This window comes from Homo sapiens, chromosome 22 (genome assembly GCF_000001405.40).
Source record: "Homo sapiens chromosome 22, GRCh38.p14 Primary Assembly".
Classification (NCBI taxonomy): domain Eukaryota; kingdom Metazoa; phylum Chordata; class Mammalia; order Primates; family Hominidae; genus Homo; species Homo sapiens.
Window position 1 is genome coordinate 21,863,212 of NC_000022.11, and position 22,070 is coordinate 21,885,281.

The 22,070-nt window shown below is 48.4% G+C and overlaps 1 protein-coding gene across 2 annotated transcripts in view, besides 2 other annotated features; it reads right to left on the minus strand.

Moving 5' to 3' along the window:
- The window catches only part of MAPK1 (mitogen-activated protein kinase 1), a 108,024-nt gene extending 103,555 nt beyond the window's left edge, over positions 1-4,469 (minus strand). The window contains exon 1 of one of the 2 annotated variants that reach the window (NM_002745.5): positions 4,111-4,434. In NM_002745.5, the coding sequence (NP_002736.3) occupies positions 4,111-4,229 (119 nt within the window). In that variant the 5' untranslated portion in view covers positions 4,230-4,434. Of the gene's footprint in view, positions 1-4,110 lie in introns of both variants that reach the window. The other variant, NM_138957.3, reaches the window with a different exon arrangement.
- Positions 4,365-4,604: a silencer, noted in NCBI's record as "silent region_13517". NCBI's record gives its function as "represses an Ori minimal core promoter by ATAC-STARR-seq in GM12878 lymphoblastoid cells {active_cell/tissue: GM12878}" and the evidence as "EXISTENCE:reporter gene assay evidence [ECO:0000049][PMID:35858748]".
- Positions 19,612-20,373: an enhancer, noted in NCBI's record as "NANOG-H3K27ac hESC enhancer chr22:22237113-22237874 (GRCh37/hg19 assembly coordinates)". NCBI's record gives its function as "activates a minimal SCP1, AML or CMV promoter by ChIP-STARR-seq in primed H9 embryonic stem cells {active_cell/tissue: H9 hESC(primed)}" and the evidence as "EXISTENCE:reporter gene assay evidence [ECO:0000049][PMID:30033119]".

The following is a 22,070-nucleotide window of genomic DNA, read 5'->3' on the forward strand; positions in this document are numbered from 1 at the left end:
ATGCTATGTATTTTTTAACCAAAAAGATAAATATAGAAAACATATAATTACAATTTCTTTTTTTTTTTTTTTTGAGACCCAGTCTTGCTCTGTCACCCAGGCTGGAGTACAGTGGCGCGATCTTGGCTCACTGCAAGCTCTGCCTCCCGGGTTCACACCATTCTCCTGCCTCAGCCTCCCCAGCAGCTGAGACTACAGGCGCACACCGCCACGGCCGGCTACTTTTTTTTTTTGTATTTTTAGTAGAGATAGGGTTTCACCATGTTAGCCAGGATGGTCTCGATCTCCTAACCTCGTGATCCGCCCACCTGGGCCTCCCAAAGTGCTGGGATTATAGGCGTGAGCCACCGCGCCTGGCCATGATTGCAATTTCACCTAACCAATGACCCAGATAAGAATCTGTGCTCATCCACTCAAGATTTTAACTACCATTTACACAAATTTTCATCTCCAGCTCCTGCTCCCCTCTTACAAATTTTAAGATGGTTTCTGGATATAGCCTGAATGGCCTACAGGCATTACAAACTTAAGTTCAAACCAGAACTATTTCCCCCTGACAAATCTGCTCTAACAGTATTCCTTTACTTGGATAATGGCACCACCATCTCCCAGGCTCCCAACCTAGAGGCCTCAGAATGAACAACCGCCCATAGCCAATCAACCAGCAAGCCTTGTTCTATCTCAGAAATCCCTCCAAATCCAAATCCCACCTCTCTTGGTCTCTTACCCTTTAAGGTCTCATAATCCTTTGATTCCACTCAGACTTGCCATGATTAAAAGTCTTTTTACCACTCTTCCCACAAGGGTCCCTGTTACTATTTCTGTCAATACAAAACTCCTCACCTCCATCTGCTACCTTCCGCTGCCACTTTATTACTGCACCTCTAGGTGGTTAGGCTTTCCTAATTTATTCCTCCACTCCGGTTCTTCTTCCTTCATTCCCACTAGTGTTGATTTGTCTTCCCAAAAAATTTCAAAATTGACCATGTATGACTGCCTCTTTCAAAAAAAGGCCGGGCACGGTGACTAAAGCCTGTAATCACAGCACTTTGGGAGGCTGAAGTCAGGGGGACCACCTGAGGTCAGGAGTTTGAGACCATCTTGGCCAACATGGCAAAACGCTGTCTCTACAAAAATACAAAAAAAAAATTAGCTGAGCATGGTGGCACGCGCCTGTAGTCCCAGCTACTCAGGAGGCTGAGGCAGGAGAATCGCTTGAACCTAGGAGGCAGAGGTTGCAGTGAGCCGAGGTCATGCCACTGCACTACAGCCTAGGCAACAAGAGTGAGACTCCACCTCAAAAAAAAAAATAAACAAATAAATAAATAAATAAGATGCTTCCTCCACTGAACAAATATACAGTCAAACTTAGTTTTGCCTTTGGAGTCCTCTACAGTTTGCCACCTAAGTACATTTCCAAGATTAGATTCCACAGCTCAAGCTGTCACTTGTTCCTATTATCTGCATATCAAAATCACACCCACTCTTAAAGGCCCAACTCAAATCCCACTCTTCATCTTTACATCCTCTACATAATCATTAGGAAAGGACTCTAAACAAAATAGTCACAATTCCTAATGAACTGATAAGGAAACAGAAGGGGGTAAATCTAAAAAATGGCTAGAAATCCATAAATCCTTTTGGAAGCATTTTTTAAAAGATCACCATTCAAATATTAGTGAATATTTCAACGAGCCCTCCATAAATCCAGCACTGTTAGCCAATATTTATTAAATGCTAATAATGTGCAATGGAGAAGGTTAACAGCAGGGTATTTCATCAACCTGATAAAAGGCTATAATCTGGATCTTGGATTCAAATTCCAATTACATTTGTATTTCACTTAGGAAACGACAATCACAAAAAGGGGACTTAGCATTTCAAATGGAGAGTCAGAAGGTCAAACAAGCCTACAGCAGTGACAGAAGTAGTTCCCACATCTAAACAACTTCAGACTAGTAAAAACCTTATCAGACAGGAGAAATCTTATCAGATGGGGGTATCTTTTCAATTGACATGTCCTAAACGTAAAATACTTTTTTCAGTCCACATTTTAGATAAGCTAATCTTGTTAAAAGGGCCAAAGGATGTGATGGGAAATTCTGAGCCTCTCATAATGAGACATGTTCACTGGCACACTTCCCAGTGAGTGCAACAGCAATGCGATGTGTGGTGGAGAAATGATGCTACTGGCAATACTTTCTCTCCATTACTTTTTAGGGCCTTATTTCTTTCAGGCTCGACCTAATTTAAATTCTGTCTTGGCTCCTAAGCCTGTGAGTTCACATTAATTTTCACAGTTGTATTCAGCATTTTGCTCCTAAACAAAGTGAAAACATTAAAGATTCAATTAAAATCTCTTTAAAAAGAATTTTAACTAATCTTTCTATCTAGCTACAATACTTGGTAAAACATACCTTCTATGGCATTTCTAAAATTATGATTGAAATTTGAATACATTTCCGAAACAGACTTATATTTACTTTATAACAGTAAGATACAGAAAATTCTGCAAGTATTAATTACACTAAGGAACGCAGAGTGTTTTCCTAAAAACAGCTGAAAAGAGCTACAGTGTGTCTAGTAGAATCTCAGTCTACAATCTTAATAACTCTAGTTCTATGACCTCAAGAATTGGCTTCACCTCGAAATACTTTCTCACCTGAAAAAAGGAATAACACCATCTTTTCCTCCCTCAATGTGGCTGCTCAAATAAAATGAAATAATATATGTAGCACAGTACCTGCCACGAAGGGTTCAATAAATTATTAGTTTACTTTCTTCAGTCAACACAAAAGACACATTCACAAGATTCAGATTTAAGGAAATCTATTTCCACAAGTCCTCACCAGCACAAAATGCTATCGCTAGTTTGCTCTAATAAAAACTACCATCAGCCGGGCGCGGTGGCTCACGCCTGTAATCCCAGCACTTTGGGAGGCCGAGGCGGGCGGATCACGAGATCAATACATCGATACCATCCTGGCCAACATGGTGAAACCCTGTCTCTACTAAAAAATACAAAAATGGGCCGGGCGTGGTGTCGCGCGCCTGTAGTCCCAGCTACTCGGGAAGCTGAGGAAGAAGAATCGCTTGAACCCAGGAGGCGGAGGTTGAAGTGAACCGAGGTCACGCCACTGCACTTCAGCCTGGAGACAGAGCGAGACCCCGTCTCGGGGGGAAAAAAAAAACCGTCACTATCATTTCACTTTTCTAAGGGACCTGAATCAAGATGAGGGAGTCTACGTGTGATTCTGCAAGAACTCCATTAAGGCTGCATACATAATGACCACTAAATCATTAACAGGAGTCCATAGCAATTGGGCTAAAACATCTGGGAGCATTTATGCTGGTAAAAGAGCTCACTTGGGGGCTAAAAAAAAAGTCAAATTAGGCCCAACTCTAAACGGATCTTTAACAAATCAAGAGAGTAATGTTAGTTTATCCTTCCTGAAACGCCAGCAGTACGATATTAAAATCCACTTAGAAGTAAAAACTTCAAGACGGAAATATGCCACCAACACTGGCGTCAGTAATCCATTTTAGAAAGCCTGCGCGGAGACCACCATTAGCACCGCTGAGGATATTTAATGAAAGCCGTTGGCTGCAAACAGAGGCGAAGAGAGAAAAACGATTATTTCGGTGTTCTGCACACACGCGGAGGCAAAACGCTTTCAGGACCTCAGCAGCCACCGCCGCCAACACCGACAAGCATCTGATGGAATTCACAGTTTTACAATCGAAAGTCCAAAAGAAGGCCATGATACTAGCAAATTGAGGGGTGGGGACCCTTCCGTTGCCTTCCCGAGGGTCCAGACTTTAAAGGCCGCGCTGCGCCCGGGGCCAAGGGTCCACTAGTACCGGCCTACGCCCCCCGCGCCACTCCCTGAGCCCCTTCCCGAGCGACCGAAGGCCCGGGAACCGCGAGCAACAACACCTAAACCTCAACCGGCCCGGGGCCGCGCCCGAGCCCTGGCGCGCGGACCGCGGTGAAGTCCGGGTTCGAGGTCGCCGCGGCGCCTGAGGCCGAGGCGCGGGCGAGGCCGAGGCTGCGTCCGCTGCGGCCCCGGGCGGTGGGGGGGCCGGGCGTGGCCGGTCGCGGACACTCACCACACCATGCCGTAGGCGCCCTCGCCGATGTACGAGAGGTTGGTGTAGCGCGGCCCCACGTCGAACACCTGCCCGCGGACCATCTCCGGGCCCGCGCCCGCCGCCGCCGCCGCCGCCATGTTGGCTGCCGGGCCGCCGCCGCCTCCGCCGCGCTGAGCTCGACGCTCGGCGGCCGCCGCTCAGCTCTTGTCGCCCCTCCCGCAGGGACTGCGCCGCCGCCGGTGCAGCCGCCGACGCTGACCGGGAGGAGGAAGGAAGACGCCGAGCGGGAGAGCTGAAGAGCCGACAGCCACTCGGACCGATTGCCTGCCTGCCTGCCAGACTGACGGGCGGGCCGGCGGGCGGGCGGAGGGAGGGGCGCGCGCCGAGGAGGGTGCCGGGGCGGGGACAAGAAGTGTGCATGCGGATTGGTTCCTCGCGGCTGGGGGCGGGGCCGCGCGGGCCGGCGGAAGCGGCGGGCTTCGGGAGGGGCACTGCGACGGCGTTGACTGAGGGGGCGCCACTAGGCGCGGTCACGTGCATTCGCGGTGCATTCGCGGGGGCGTCGGTGCGGGTCGCGTCTCTTAAGACACCCAGGGAGACAGACGTGGGGCAGAACTCATGGGCTGAAGTGAGAGATGGCTGGGGCCCAGGCGAGCGACCGAGCAGGGTCCGAACAGAGCCAGCGAGGGACCCCGGGCTGTGCTTGAGGCCCGACGACGCGCCATATCCCGGCAGCGCCGCAGCTCAGGCCTCTGCGAATCTGTGGTCCACACGCTGATAAACTTAGAGGCCTCTGCACTGGGGCAGAAACCGAAAGGCATGACCCAGACCGAGAAAGATATTTGCATACTGAGAAAGTGTGAAACACAATTGTCGAGACTAAAAGGAGACACTGAGAGGATACGCCAATCAGGTTAGTTCAGATGTTTGTTGAGCACACTCCATGTTCCTGGGGATCCACCCTTATAGAAGTTACCTTTTAGAGAGAGGAGACAGACAAATACGTGTAATGCTCAAGTTGTGATAAGTACGATGAAGAAGTACAAAGCAGAAGGGAGGGCGCGGTGTCTCACGCCTATCATCCCAGCACTTTGGGAGGCCGAGGCGGGCGGATCACTTGAGGTCAGGAGTTTGAGACCAGGTCTCTACTAAAAATACAAAAATTAAGTCCGGGCGAGGTGGCTCACGCCTGTAATCCTAGCACTTTGGGAGGCCGAGGCGGGCGGATCACGAGGTCAGGAGTTCAAGACCAGCCTGGCCAACATGGCGAAACCCTGTCTCTACTAAAAATACAAAAATTAGCCGGGCGCAGTGGTGGGCGCCTGTCATCCCAGCTACTTGGGAGGCTGAGGCAGGAGGACAAAGCAGAGAGTAAGGGATTAGGGGGTGGTGGGTCGAAACACATGAGAGATACATTTGCGTTCAGAGACAGACCGAGATTGGTACAGATAGGCAGAAATGCTGACAGAGCAGGTAATGAAATAGAAATGCAAAGATAGAGTCACTAAAACCAAAACATCGAGGTTTAGAGAAAAAGAGACACACCAGGTTAAGAAACAGTCACAAACAACAGAGGTTGAAAAAATAAAAATTAGAGTCCTGAAGCAGGTGGATACCAAGGAAAGCTAAGACAACGAGACGGACAATGACCCAGGCACTGCTTCTGAACCTTTTCCCCTGCCATGTTTGGAGGGAGAAGGAAGAGCGGCAGACCCTATATCCTCTTTGTTCAACTCTTCCAAGTTTAAAACCATCAACTCTTGACTTCTAGACATCAACAAAGATTAATTAGTCAATCTCAAAGGAGAATAAACAAAGTTTTTTGTTTGTTTGTTTGTTTAACTCTCTGGTGGAAGCTGGTGTGGTGGCTCACGCCTGTAATCCCAACTTGGGCCCAAGAATTCAAGACTAGCCTGGGCAACACAGCAATACCCTGTCTCTAAAACAGAGAAACAAACAAACAAAAAATCCTGTGGGGGAAAAAGGATGTGACACATGAGAAAAGGAATAAACTGCTCCAGCCAAAATTTACTCCTTCAAAATATATTTAGCCCATGAAGCAGGACCCAATTTTAGAAAATACCTAATTCTTGAGTTAATGGGTGCAGCACACCAGCATGGCACATGTATACATATGTAACTAACCAGCACATTGTGCACATGTACCCTAAAACTTAAAGTATAATAATAATAATAAAAAGAAAATACCTAATTCTTATTCTCAAAAGAGGACATTGCATATTTTTTTAAAAAACAGGCCAAGATAAATGGAGTACCATGAAATTAAAACCACAATAACCGGCCGGGCGCGGTGGCTCACGCCTGTAATCCCAGCACTTTGGGAGGCGGAGGAGGGCAGATTGCCCAAGCTCAGAAACTGGGGACCAGCCTGGGCAACATGGTGAAACCCCGTCTCTACTAAGATACAAAAAATTAGCTGGGCCTGCCGGTGTGCCTGTAGTCCCAGCTACTCGGGAGGCTGAGGCAGGAGAATTGCTTGAACTCGGGAGGCAGAGGTTACAGTGAGCTGAGATCGCGCCACTGCACTCCAGCCTGGGCCACAGAGTGAGACTCCGTCTCAAAAAAAAAAAAAAAAAAGAGGCCGGGTGCGGTGGCTCACGCTTGTAATCCCAGCACTTTGGGAGGCCGAGATGGGCGGATCACAAGGTCAGGAGATCGAGACCATCCTGGCTAACATGGTGAAACCTCGTCTCTACTAAAAATACAAAAAAAAAAAAAAAAAAAATTAGCCGGGCGTGGTGGCGAGTGCCTGTAGTCCCACCTACTCCGGAGGCTGAGACAGGAGAATGGCGTCAACCCGGGAGGCGGAGCTTGCAGTGAGCCGAGGTCACGCCACTGCACTCCAACCTGGGTGACAGAGCAAGACTCCGTCTCAAAAAAAAAAAAAAAAAAAGTAGACTTGATGCAGAAGAGTACATCAGCAATATAGAAGATAAACATGAGAAAATTTTCAAGAATATAGAACAAAGTGATGGAATCCTGTAAGAGAAGATAATGGGGATGGACAGCATCTAGGGATTCTAACTCTAGGCATCCCCACAGGAAGACAGAGCAAATCGGTTAGAGCGAATAATCAAAATTACAATAGGAGAAAAGTTTCCTTAGGTTGCAAAAAGGTCTGAGGTGGAGGTGGGAAATAGAGTGGGTTCACTGAGATTGAGAAAAATTAAGAAGAAACCAACAACACATAATCTGGGAAAATCATTAAGTTTCAGGGATAAAGAACAGACACTAATAGACCCAATTAGGGAAAAAAATGTTATTTATAAAAAAGCTGGCCAGCAGGCACGGTGGCTCGTGCCTGTAATCCCAGCACTTTGGGAGGCCGAGGCGGGCGGATCATGAGGTCAGGAGTTCTAGACCAGCCTGGCCAACATGGCGAAACCCCATCTCTTCTAAAAATACAAAAATTAGCTGGGTGTGGTGGTGTGTGCCTGTAATTCCAGCTTCTTGGGAGGCTGAGGCAGGAGAATTGCTTGAATCCAGGAGGTGGAGGTTGCAGTGAGCCGAGATCGTGCCACTGCACTCCAGTCTGGGCAACAGAGTGAGATTCCGTCTCCGGGGGAAAAAAAGATGGCTGGGCGAGGTGGCTCACACCTGTAATCCCAGCACTTTGGGAGGCTGAGGCGGGTGGATCACCTGAGGTCAGGAGTTCGAGACCAGCCTGGCCAACGTGGTAAAACCTTGTCTCTACTGAAAATACAAAAATTAGCCGAGCATGATGGCTGGCACCTGTAATCCTAGCTACTTGGGAGGCTAAGGCAGGAGAATCGCTTGAACCCGGAAGGCATAGGTTGCAGTGAGCCGAGATTGCACCATTGCACTCCAGTCTGGGTGATAAGAACGAGACTCCATTTAAAAAAAAAAAAAGCTAAAAACTGGCTTTATTCAGATTTTTCCTCTGCAACACTTAAAAGCCAAAGGAAAATAGAACAAGATTGACAACACTTTGAAGGGGTAGGTTTCGACCCTTCATAGATTCATAGATGGTGGCAAGAACGAGACTCCATCTCAAAAAAAAAGCTAAAAACTGGCTTTCTTCAGATTTCTCCTCTGCAACACTTAAAAGACAAAGGAAAATAGAACAAGATTGACAACACTTTGAAGGGGTAGATTTTGACCCTTCATAGATGATTTCATTCACTCCAGTGCCTTAATTCCTCCTAGATCTTTTTTTTTTTTTTTTTTTTTTGGAAAATTATATATAAAAGGAGACGGGGGCCAGGCGCGGTGGCCCACGCCCATAATTCAGCACTTTGGGAGGCCGAGGTGGGCGGATCACCTGAGGTCAGGAGTTTGAGATAAGCCTGGCCAACATGACAAAACCCTGTCTCTACTAAAAATACAGAAAAATTAGTTAGGCATGGTGGCTCATACCTGTAATCCCAGCTACTTGGGAGGCTGAGGCGGGAAGGTCTCTTGAACTCAGGAGGTGGAGGTTGCAGTGAGCAGAGATCACACCACTGCACTCTAGCCTGAGTAACAGAGTGAGACTCCATCTCAAAAAAAAAAAAAAAATAGAGAGAGACGGGGTCTCACTTGTTGCCCAGGCTGGTTTTGAACTCCTGGCCTCAAACCATTCTCCTACTTCAGCCTCCCAAGTAACTGGGACTATTGGTATGCACCTCCTTCCTCCCAGATCTTTTTTTTTTTTTTTTGAGACAGAGTCTCACTCTGTTGCCCAGGCTGGAGTGTGGTAGGGTGATCTCGGCTCACGGCAACCTCCACCTCCCAGGTTCAAGCAATTTTTCTGCCTCAGCCTCCCGAGTAGCTGGGATTACAGGCATGCACCACCACGCCCAGCTAATTTATTTTTTGTACTTTTAGTAGAGGCGGGGTTTCACCATATTGGCCAGGCTGGTCTCAAACTCCTGACCTCGTGATCTGCCCACCTCGGCCTCCCAAAGTGCTAAGAATACAGGTGTGAGCCACCGTGCCCCTCATTTCCTGGATCTTTATTGCTCAGAAGATCTCTCCTGAATTCCAGGTCAGCATGTCCACCTGCACACAGGACAGCTCCATGTGACATCCCACAGGTGTTTCAGTGCCACAAATTTAAACCACCATTGGTTAACTGCATGAGTTCTGTGCTGAGACTGTTTGAATCTTGGCTGCTCTGCTTACCAGCTGTGTGACCTTGTCCTCATTTTCCTCAGACTTAAAATGGGATCACAATAATGCCTACCTCACATAAGTCTGTTGGACAGAGTACATAAGACAACATATGTGAAGAGCCTGACACATATTATGTTATGTACCCACTAAATGTTATCTGTTACCTACCTCACCTAAACCTGTTGTTTATCTTGTATCTGTGGATAGCATCACCTTCACCCAGACACTTAAGTTGGAGAGTTCACTATAATCTTTAACAACACATTTTACCTCAAGCCTTACCCTGTACCCCATCCAATCAATTATGAACTATAAATTCTGTTTCTTTAATAGTTCAGAAATCTTTACTACCTAAAGTCTGATCTCCAGGCCAGGTGTGGTAGCTCATGTGTGTAATCCCAGCACTTTGGGAGGCTGAGGCAGGAGGATTGTTTGAGCTCAGGAGTTTGAGACTGGGCAACATAGGGAGACCCCATCTCTACATAAAATTTTACAACTAGCCAGGTGTGGCCGGGTGTGGTGGCTCACATCTATAATCCCAGCACTTTGGGAGGCCGAGGTGGCGTGGATCGCTTGAGGTCAGGAGTTCAAGACCAGCCTGGCCAACATGTTGAAACCCTGCCTGTACTAAAAATACAAAAATTAGCTGGGTATGGTGGTGGCATGCACCTGTAATTCCAGCTACTCAGGAGGCTGAGGCAGGAGAATCACTTGAACCTGAGAGGCGGAGGTTGCGGTGAGCCAAGATCATGCCATTGCACCCCAGCCTGGGTGACAAGAGCAAAACTCCATCTCAAAAAAAAAAAATACAAATACACCTGTAATCCCAGCACTTCGGGAGACCGAGACGGGCGGATCACGAGGTTAGGAGATCAAGACCATCCCGGCTAACACGGTGAAACCCCGTCTCTGCTAAAAATACAAAAAATTAGCTGGGCGTGGTGGCGGGCGCCTGTAGTCCCAGCTACTAGGGAGGCTGAGGCAGGAGAATGGCGTGAACCTGGGAGGTGGAGCTTGCAGTGAGCCGAGATAGTGCCACTGCAGTCCAGCCTGGGTGACAGAGCGAGACTCCTCAAAAAAAAAAAAAATACAAATACAAAAATTAGTCAGGCATGGTGGCAGACCCCTGTAATCCCAGCTACTTAGGAGGCTGAGGCACAAGAATTGATTGAACCCAGGAGGGGCGGAGGTTGCAATGAGCCAAGATCGTGCCACTGCACTCCAGCCTAGGCAACAGAGCAAAACTCCATCTCAAAAAAACAAACAAACAAAAAACTAGCCAGCGTAGTGGCACCCATGGCCCCAGCTACTCAGGAGGCTGAGATGGGAGGATCAGCTTAGCTGGGAGGTCGAGGTTGCAATGAACCGTGATTGCACCACTGCATTCCAGCCTTGGAGACAGAGCAAGACATCGACAAACATCAAAAAAAAGTATGTCTCGAAAAACAATAAAAGTGGTATCCAGACCAGCAGCATCAGCATTATTCACAAGTTTGTTAGAAATGCAGCATCTCAGACCCAACCTGAATAAAATCAGGATTTTAATAAGATACCCAGGTGATTGATATGCATGTTAAACTTTGAGAAGCACTGTTTTTATTTATTTTACTTTTTTTTTGAGATGAAGTTCTGCTCTGTCACCCAAGCTGGAGTGCAGTGGCACAATCTCAACTCACTACAACCTTTGCTTCCCTGGTTCAAGCAATTCTCCTGCCTCAGCCTCCTGAGTAGCTAGGATTACAGGTGCCCACCACCACACCCAGCTAATTTTTGTATTTTTGGTAGAGACAGGGTTTTGCCATGTTGGCCAGGCTGATCTTGCACTCCTGACCTGAGGTGATCCGCCCACCTCGGCCTCCCAAAGTGCTGGGATTACAGGCATGAGCCACCGTGCCTGGCTGAGAAGCACTGTTTTAAATGTCACCACTTCATCCCCGGTGCCACTCTGCTGGTTCATGTGTTGTGTCAACTCTCTAACCAAGGCTACCACAATATCCTTAATTAAGTTTTCTGCTTTCAGTGTGCCCTGGTCCAATTGTTTCTTTCTCTTTTTTTTTTTTTTTTTTTTTGAGATGGAGTCTCGCTCTGTCGCCCAGGCTAGAGTGCAGTGGCGCGATCTCGGCTCACTGCAAGCTCTGCCTCCCGGGTTCATGCCATTCTCCTGCCTCAGCCTCCCGAGTAGCTGGGACTACAGGCACCTGCCACCACGTCCGGCTAATTTTTGGTATTTTTAGTAGAGACAGGGTTTCACCGTGTTAGCCAGGATGGTCTTGATCTCCTGACCTCATGAGCCGCCCGCCTCGGCCTCCCAAAGTGCTGGGATTACAGGCAGGAGCCACCACGCCCAGCCATTTCTTTCTCCTAAACCCAGATCAATCTTTCCACAACAAATCTGACTGTCCCTCCTCCTCTTCTTCTTCTTCTTTTTTTTTTTTTTAATTTTTTAGGAGACAGGGTTTTGCTCTGTTGTCCAGGCTGGAGTGCAGTGGTATAATCATAGCTCACTGCAGCCTTGAACTCCTGGGCTGAAGCCATCCTGCTGCCATAGCCTCCCAAGTAGCCAGGACTACAGGCACGTACCACCATGCCTGGCTAATTTTTAAAAGTTTTTGTAGAGACAAGATCTCACCGTGTTACCCAGGCTGGTTTCAAACTCCTAGCCTCAAATGATCCTCCCATTTTGGCCTCCCAAAGTTCTAGGCTTACAGGCATAAGCCACCACGACTGGCTGTCCCTCCCCTTCTTTTTTTTTTTTTTTTTTTTTTTTGAGGTGGAGTCTTGTTCTGTTGCCCAAGCTAGAGTGCAGGGGCACAATCTTGGCTCACTGTAACCTCTGCCTCCCAGGTTCAAGCAATTCTCCTGCCTCAACCTCCCAAGTAGTTGGGACTTCAGGTGCATGCCGCCATGCTCAGCTAATTTTTTGTATTTTAGTAGAGACAGGTGTTGCCCAGGCTGGTCTCGCACTCCTGAGCTCAGGCAATCCACCGCCTCAGCCTCCCAAAGTACTAGGATTACAGGCGTGAGCCACTGCACCCAGCCTGTCCCTCTCCTTCTTAAGTGGCTCCCCATCACACTCAGAGTGAGAGCTTTGCTGGCTACCTCTCCACCCTAATCTCCTCTTCTCTCCCTGACCCTTGCTTTCCACGCACCAGCCATGCTAATCTACCCTCAGTACTCTCGTGTCTTTTGGTTTTAGCATGTATCAGTCTCCCTCCCTGTAACATGTTGTCTCTGCGCTATTCCAGCATTGGTGGACATTTAAAACTACCACACTGTTATGGGATGATGCGTCTGACTGTTAATTTTCTCCAGAGAGCGCCTCTTGCCTAGTTCCATGGGCACTAAGCAACCTTATGATTAGAGTTTGGGTTCACTTGTGATTTTCTGATGGGGAAAGTTCCCTGACCAGAGGACAACCCCATTTGGGTCCTATGGCAATGACTGTTCATTCTAAGATGGGGTTTAGTCTCATCGGTCTCTACTGAGTCAGGTTAGCATGAGCCAGGCCCAGAGGGAACAATCATCTAGCTCCGACAACAACAAGTTTCTGGAAACACAGTGGAGAACTAGCCTCTGGAACATGGTAAGACAATAACTAAGCTACCATCTAAGCATAAGGCCGACTACCTGAATGTCTTTCTTACTGACTCAATACGGTGGCAATAATTCACAGATCTGCAGAATCTTAGAAAACAATGGACATCTACCCAGCATTGACTCCTCCTTCTGGTAGCAGCAACCTAGATTTTTTTTTTTTTGAGATGGAGTCTTGCTCTTGTCATCCACGCTGGAGTGCAATGGCACAATCTTGGCTCACTGCAACCTCCGCCTCCGGGGTTCAAGTGATTCTCCAGCCTCAGCCTCCAAAGTAGGTGGGATTACAGGCACTCACCACCATGCCCAGCTAATTTTTGTATTTTTAGTAGAGATGGGGTTTCACCACGTTGGCCAGGCTGGTCTCAAACTTCTGACCTCAGTTGAGCTGCCCACCTCGGCCTCCCAAAGTGCTGGGATTACAGGCATGAGCCACCATGCCTGGCCAACCCAGTTTTTATTTGGTGACCTGTCCCTTCTGCACTCATGTAGTTTGAAGGGCTGGCCTCATCCCCAAGTTCAAGAGAACCATGTGACCCAGGGCTCCCTAATCAGAACACAGACATTGGTTCAAAGGATGGGCATGTGACCTGATTCAAGCCAATGATATTCAGCTCAGACTTTTGCAGAAACTATTAGGAAAAAGGTGTTCCCTTTTTGCTGGGGTGGTGGGAAGTGAATGTGAGTCTGTGGCCAGACATGCCACGATGCAAGAAACACCCTCCGAGAGGAAGACAGAGATGAAGACAATTCCTTCCTGCTGCAGTTTGAGGCTGTATATAGCTAAGCCTGAACTTTAGGTTTCTGTCACTTAAAGCCATAAGAGTTCTGACTAATGCACTACCCAATTAACTCATTTTTCTGCAGAAATTGCTCAGAACTGTGCAATAAATTGTGAGACATGAATCAGAAACTCATGAATGATGAAATGAGAGAAAAGAACTGGCAATGAGCCTTGAAACTAGCTAAAGATAGAGAGATAACGGAATAAAAACACCACTCAGTAGAGACTGATACTGATAAGTTGAAATAATTGTTGCTATGGTAACAAACAAAATGCAAAATAAAAAGTTGAGAACGAAGATCTTTAAAAATAGGGTTTTAAACCTGAGATTATGCAGTGGAAACCAGGGGAGAAGAAAGAGGATAGAAAAGCCAGAGACTATGTCTTTGTTTTATGTAACATGAGGATAAAAGTTATTTAAAAAAATATATAAGTTCATATAATTTTTCAGTGTAAAAAGCCTTATGTATACCTTATAATTCATTACATGAGACGAAAGGAACAACGTAATTCATACAGCAAAAATCAAGAGTCTTAGGAAGTATACTAGATACTTTCCTCACATTTGTAAATTAAAAAAAGAAATGGCAAGAAATTATAAACAAGAATATCAAAACACCAGAAAATTAGAAAATTAGATGAGCAAAGGTTAGATTACGTATAACAAGCCAAATGTAAACAAGTAAAAATGTAAACTTCTAAAATTACTATTTAAAATATTAAAACTTCAGATCACATCAAAAAGCAAACTGAATATATACTGTTGTTTAAAAAGATATGCCTATTTATGTGTGTGTATATATATAGTATGTATATGCATATATATACATATTAGTAGTATGTATACTAATAATATATATAATATAAAAAGGCTTTGTTACTGGACATGGTGGCTCACACCTGTAATCCCACTGCTTTGAGAGGCTGAGGTGGGAGGATTACTTGAGGCCAGGAGTTCAAGACCAGCCAGGTCAACATAGCAAGACTCTGTCTCTACAAAAATAAAAATTAAAAAATTAACTGAGTGTGGTGGTACACACTTGTAGTTCCAGCTATCCAGGAGGCTGAGGCAGGAGAATCCCTTAAGCTCAGGAGTTAGAGGCTGCGGTAAGCTATGATCACATCACTGCACTCCAGCCTGGCCAACAGAGCAAAATCCTGTCTCAAAAAAAAAAAAAGGCATTGTGAAACTAAAGGCACCAAATAACATAACAACACAAAACAAGAAGCAGAGCCGGGTGTGGTGGCACATACCTATCGTCCCAGCTACTCAGGAGACAGAGGCTGGAGGATCACTTAAGACTATTAAGACTGGAAGTTTGAAGCTGTAGTGCCATATGATCATGCTTGTGAATATGCACTGCATTCCAGCCTGGGCAACATAACAAGATCTTGTCTCTTTAAAAAAAAAAAAAAGTCGGCCGGGCGCGGTGGCTCACGCCTGTAATCCCAGCACTTTGGGAGGCCGAGGCGGGTGGATCATGAGGTCAGTAGATCGAGACCATCCTGGCTAACAAGGTGAAACCCCGTCTCTACTAAAAAAATACAAAAAATTAGCCGGGCGCGGTGGCGGGCGCCTGTAGTCCCAGCTACTCGGGAGGCTGAGGCAGGAGAATGGCGTGAACCCGGGAAGCGGAGCTTGCAGTGAGCCGAGATTGCGCCACTGCAGTCCGCAGTCCGGCCTGGGCGACAGAGCGAGACTCCGTCTCAAAAAAAAAAAAAAAAAGTCTATAGGAACACAGCTAATAGAAACACAGTTATAGGCTGGGCTCAGAGGCTCACACCTGTAATCCCAGTGTTTTGGGAGGCCAAAGCAGGAGGATTTCTTGAGGCCAGGAGTTACAGATCATCCTGGGCAATGTAGCGAAGCCCCTCTCTAAAAAAAAAAAGTTTTAAAAATTAGTCACGTGTGGTGGCATGCATCTGCAGTCCTATCTACTTGGGAGACTGACATGGAAGGATGGCTTGAGCTCAGGAGTTTGAGGCTGCAGTGAACTATAATTATAGTAAAATATGATATACCATTATCAGACTGTGACATATAAACAAAAATAAAGATGAGCTAAACAGCAGAATTAGTAAGGTATAAAAACTTACGCTGTGTCCTCCACCTACATAAAATACATCACCACCACTCCCAGTATCTCTGGAACATTGACAACAACTTATCCTTTACTGGACCACAAAATTTGTTTGTTTGTTTTTTTTTTTTTTTGAGATGTAGTTTCGCTCTGTTGCCCAGGCTGGAGTGCAGTGGCACGGTCTCAGCTCACTGCAACCTCCATCTCCCTGGTTCAAGCAATTCTCCTGCCTCAGCTTCCCAAGTAGCTGTGATCACAGGCACCCACTGCCACGCCCTAAGTTTTGTATTTTTAGTAGAGACTGGGTTTCACCATGTTTGCCAGGCTGGTCTCCAACTCCAGCCCTCAGGTGATCTGCCCACCTCGGCCTCCCAAAGTGCTGGGATTACAGGCATGAGCTACCACACCTGGCCCACAAAATTTTTTAATAAATCCAAATAAGCAAAAATTGTTGAGGTCAAATCCTCTGATCACAGCACAGTTTAACAAATGAACAATCATACGAAGTTTAAAATTAACAAACATCCTACTAAGTGCTTTATTAGAACATTAGCAGACATTCTACTAAGATTTCAGTCAGATGGCCGGACGCGGTGGCTTACACCTGTAATCCCAGCACTTTGGGAGGCCGAGGAGGGCGGATCAACTGAAGTCAGGAGTTTGGAGACCAGCCTGGCCAACATGGTGAAACCCTGTCTCTACTAAAAATACAAAAATTAGCTGGGCGTGGTGGTGCATGCCTGTAATCCCAGCTACTTGGAGGAGGCTGAGCGAGGAGAATCACTTGAACCTGGGAGGCAGAGGTTGCAGTGAGCCGAAATCGCGTCATTGCTCTCCAGCCTGGGCGACGAGTGAGACTCCATTTAAAAAAAAAAAAAGGTTTCAGTCGGGAAGCCAGGTGCAGTGGCTAGCACCTATAATCCCAGCACTTTGGGAGGCTGAGGCAGGTGGATCACTTGAGGTCAGCAGTTCAAGACCAGCCTGGCCAACATGGTGAAACCCAAATTAGCCAGGCGTGGTGGCAGGTGCCTGTAATCCCAGCTACTTGGAAGGCTGAGGCAGGAGAATCACTTGAGCCCAGGAGGCAAAGGTTGCAGTGAGCCGAAATTGGGCCGTTGCACTCCATCTTGGGCGAGTGAGACTCTGTCTCTCAAAAAAAAAAAAAAGGTTTCAACCAGAAAGGAAATAATACAGTAACAGGCCAGGAGCATGATGGCTAACACCCGCAATCTCAGCCCTTTAGGAAGCAGAGGTGAGAAAATTGCCTGAGGCCAGGAGTTTGAGACCAGCCTGGGCAACAAAGTGAGACCCTGTCTCTAAAAAAATTCAAAAAATAGGCCGGGCACGGTGACTAATGCCTGTAATCCCAGCACTTTGGGAGGCTGTGGTGGGCGGATCACGAGGTCAAGAGATCGAGACCATCCTGGCCAACATGGCAAAACCCCGTCTCTACTCTAAATACAAAAATTAGCTGGGCATAGTGGCGTGCGCCTGTAGTCCCAGCTATTCAGGAGGCTGAGGCAGAATTGCTTGAAACCAGGAGGCGGAGGTTGCAGTGAGCCAAGATCATGCCACTGCACTCCAGCCTGGCAACAGAGAGAGACACCATCTCAAAAAGAAAAAAAACAGAAAAAATTTTTTAAAAAAATTAGCTGACTGTGGTGGTGCATGCCTATAGTCCCAGCTGCTCGGGAGGCTGAGGGTGGAGGATCCCTGGAGCCTGGGAGTTCCAAGTTACAGTGAGCTATGATTGAGGCTCACTGCATCCTCAACCTCCTGGGCTCAAGCCATCCTCCTACCTCAGTCTCCCAAGTAGCTGGGACTACAGGTGTGTGCCACCATGCCCAGCTCATTTTTTTATTGTTTGTAGAGACAAGATCTTGGTATGTTGCCCAGGCTGGTCTCAAACTCCTAGGCTCAAGCAATCCTGCCTTGGTCTCCCAAAGTGCTGGGATTATAGGTGTGAGTCACTGTTCCCAGCCGAGACACTGTCTCATAAAAAGAAAAGAAAAGAAAAAAAAAAAAAAGGCTGGGTGCAGTGGTTCACACCTGTAATCCCAGCACTTTGGGAGGCAGAGGCAGGCAGATCACCTGAGGTCAGGAGTTTGAGACCAGCCTGACCAACATGGCAAAACGCTGTCCCTACTAAAAACACTAAAAATTAGCTGGGCGTGGTGGCAGGCACCTGTAATCGCAGCTACATGGGAGGCTGAGGCAGGGAGAATTGCCTGCACCTGGGAGGCAGAGGTTGCAGTGAGCTGAGATCATGCCACTGCACTCCAGCCTCGGCAACAGAGCAACACTTTAAAAAAAAAAAAAAAGAAGAAGAAGAAAGAAGGAGAGATAGAGAAAAGCAAAGAGGAGAAGAGAAAAGAAAGAAAAGAAAAGAGAGAGGCTGGGCATGGTGGCTCATGCCAGTAACCACAGCACTTTGGGAGGCCAAGGTGGGCGGATCACGAGGTCAGGAGATCAAGACCATCCTGGCTAACATGGTGAAACCTTGTCTCTACTTAAAATACAAAAACATTAGCCGGGCGTGGTGGCGGGCGCCTGTAGTCCCAGCTACTTAGGAGGCTGAGGCAGGAGAATGGCATGAACCCAGGAGGCGGAGCATGCAATGAGCCGAGGTCGTGCCACTGTACTCCAGCCTGGGTGACAGAGCGAGACTCCGTCTCAAAAGAGAGAGAGAGAGGGAGGGAGGGAGAGAGAGAGAGAAAAAAAAAAGAGAGATGCAGTAACACTCTTTGGAAAATCATGAAAATAATACAACTACTACTACAAACTTGGAAGACAATTCCTTTAATATTAGGCTGGGGTGGCCCCTGGCATTGATATTATATAACATTGCTTTGGCCCAAATAAGAGCAGCTGCCTTTTATCTCCTTTTCGGGGTTCCTCTTATCTGCCCATTCCTTAAATTCTAGTGTGTCCTCCCCTTACCAGTTAGAATCTTTCAGCTGTAAGTCCAAAAAGCCCTAAGTCAAACACGAACAGGACCAGGGTGAGCTGAGTGAGGCACCTGGGGTGTACATTTAAGGAGATGCTCACTCTCAGGGTTGGCAAGTGTAGCATCAGCATCCGAGAGTGAGCACCTCCTTCAATATTCTGTCCTAGGTGCTCAACTAGGACACAACTTTGGTTCTGGCCAAACTCAGTTGGTACAAACAGTAAAGGCACATGCTTTCTCATCTAACACAGGTAGGGGTCTGACTCCTCTTCTCTGCTCTTTTTGAGGCACTGCCCTCCTCTCTGTGTTGGCATTATCCTCAAGCAAGTCGGGAGGTGGCTGTAGTGGATCCAGACAGCACGTGGTACCACACTATTCAAAGGCAGAAAGGGACTGTCCCTCTGGGAGCCTCCTCAGGAGTAAGAAGCCCCCCAGCAGCAGCAGTCTTCCCCTCATGCTTCACTGGCATGCTAGGTTGCATGCCCACCCTATCTAATCACCATTTCTACTTATAGTATTTTCTAGTTTTTTTTGTTTTTTGTTTTTTGTTTTTTTTGAGAGGGAGTCTTGCACTGTCACCCAGGCTGGAGTGCAATGGCGTGATCTCAGCTCACTGCAACCTCTGCCTCCCAGGTTCAAGCAATTATCCTGCCTCAGCCTCCTGAGTAGCTGGGATTACAGGTGCCTGTCACCATGTCTGGCTAATTTTTGTACTTTTAGTAGAGTCAGGGTTTCGCCATGTTGGCCAGGCTGTTCTTGAACTCCTGACCTCAGGTGATCCACCTGCCTCAGCCTCCCAAGTATTGGGATTACAGGCGTGAGCCACCGTGCCCGGTCGAGAACTGTTCTTAATTTAAAAAAATGAATTAACTTACAGTAAAACTGACTTTTAAAATGTACACAGTAGTAGTTCTATTAGTCTTTTGGTTTTTGGTTTGTGTTTTTTTTGAGGCAGAGTCTCACTCTGTTGCCCAAGCTGGAGTGCAGTGGCATGATCATGGCTCACTTCAGCCTTGACCTCCTAAGCTCAAGGGATTCTCTCACCTCAGCCTCCCTAGTAGCTAGGACTATAGGCATGTAACACCATGTCCAGCTAATTTTTTTTTTTTTTTATTGATCATTCTTGGGTGTTTCTCGCAGAGGGGGATTTGGCAGGGTCACAGGACAATAGTGGAGGGAAGGTCAGCAGATAAACAAGTGAACAAAGGTCTCTGGTTTTCCTAGGCAGAGGACCCCGCGGCCTTCCGCAGTGTTTGTGTCCCTGGGTACTTGAGATTAGGGAGTGGTGATGACTCTTAACGAGCATGCTGCTTTCAAGCGTCTGTTTAACAAAGCACATCTTGCACCGCCCTTAATCCATTTAACCCTGAGTGGACACAGCACATGTTTCAGAGAGCACAGGGTTGGGGGTAAGGTCACAGATCAACAGGATCCCAAGGCAGAAGAATTTTTCTTAGTACAGAACAAAATGAAAAGTCTCCCATGTCTACCTCTTTCTACACAGACATGGCAACCATCCGATTTCTCAATCTTTTCCCCACCTTTCCCCCCTTTCTATTCCACAAAACTGCCATTGTCATCATGGCCCGTTCTCAATGGGCTGTTGGGTACACCTCTCAGACGGGGTGGTGGCCGGGCAGAGGGGCTCCTCACTTCCCAGTAGGGGCGGCCGGGCAGAGGCGCCCCTCACCTCCCGGACGGGGCGGCTGGCCGGGCGGGGGGCTGACCCCCCCACCTCCCTCCCGGACGGGGCGGCTGGCCGGGCGGGGGGCTGACCCCCCCACCTCCCTCCCGGACGGGGCGGCTGGCCGGGCAGAGGGGCTCCTCACTTCCCAGTAGGGGCGGCCGGGCAGAGGCGCCCCTCACCTCCCGGACGGGGCGGCTGGCCGGGTGGGGGGCTGACCCCCTCCCTCCCTCCCGGACGGGGCGGCTGGCCAGGCGGGGGGCTGACCCCCCCACCTCCCTCCCGGATGGGGCAGCTGGCCAGGCAGAGGGGCTCCTCACTTCCCAGTAGGGGCGGCCGGGCAGAGGCGCCCCTCACCTCCCGGATGGGGCGGCTGGCCAGGCGGGGGGCTGACCCCCCCACCTCCCTCCCGGACGGGGTGGCTGCCGGGCGGAGACGCTCCTCACTTCCCAGACGGGGTGGCTGCCGGGCGGAGGGGCTCCTCACTTCTCAGACGGGACGGCTGCTGGGCGGAGGGGCTCCTCACTTCTCAGACAGGGCGGTTGCCAGGCAGAGGGTCTCCTCACTTCTCAGACCGGGCGGCCGGGCAGAGACGCTCCTCACATCCTGGACGGGGCGACAGGGCAGAGGCGCTCCCCACATCTCAGACGATGGACGGCCGGGCAGAGACGCTCCTCACTTCCTAGATGAGATGGCGGCCGGGAAGAGGCACTCCTCACTTCCTAGATGGGATGGTGGCTGGGCAGAGACGCTCCTCACTTTCCAGACTGGGCAGCCAGGCAGAGGGGCTCCTCATATCCCAGACGATGGGCGGCCAGGCAGAGACGCTCCTCACTTCCCAGACGGGGTGGCGGCCGGGCAGAGGCTGCAATCTCGGCACTTTGGGAGGCCAAGGCAGGCTGCTGGGAGGTGGATGTTGTAGCGAGCCGAGATCACGCCACTGCACTCCAGCCTGGGCACCATTGAGCACTGAGTGAACGAGACTCCGTCTGCAATCCCGGCACCTCGGGAGGCCGAGGCTGGCGGATCACTCGCGGTTAAGAGCTGGAGACCAGCCCGGCCAACACAGCGAAACCCCGTCTCCACCCAAAAAATACGAAAACCAGTCAGGCCTGGCGGCGCGCGCCTGCAATCGCAGGCACTCGGTAGGCTGAGGCAGGAGAATCAGGCAGGGAGGTTGCAGTGAGCCGAGATGGCAGCAGTACAGTCCAGCTTCGGCTCGGCATCAGAGGGAGACCGTGGAAAGAGGGGAGAGGGAGAGGGAGAGGGAGCTCTTATTTTTATAAAGCTAAAAATATCAATTGTACAAACACCCTAGGGTAGGGAAAAAAAACAAAAAAAACCTCTATTCTAGATAGTAACCAACTTTATCCTAAATGTTGTAAATCTGGCAAAATTTAAGGAAATATGCTGGATAGAGTCCTTGAATACATTTACAAAGATTCCACTTTAACAAATAACATTTAAAGTTAGATGGCTAGGCGCGGTGCCTCACGCCTATAATCCCAGCACTTTGGGAGGCTGAAGCAGGCGGATCACTTGAAGTCAGGAGTTTGAGACCAGCCTGGCCAACATGATGAAACCTGTCTCTACTAAAAATACAAAAATTAGCTGGGTGTGGTGGCGGGTGCCTGTAATCCCAACTACTCGAGGAGGCTGAGGCAGGAGAATCACTTGAACCAGGGAGGCAGAGGTTGTAGTAAGCTGAGATCACGCCACTGCACTCCAGCCTTGGTGACAGAGCAAGACACC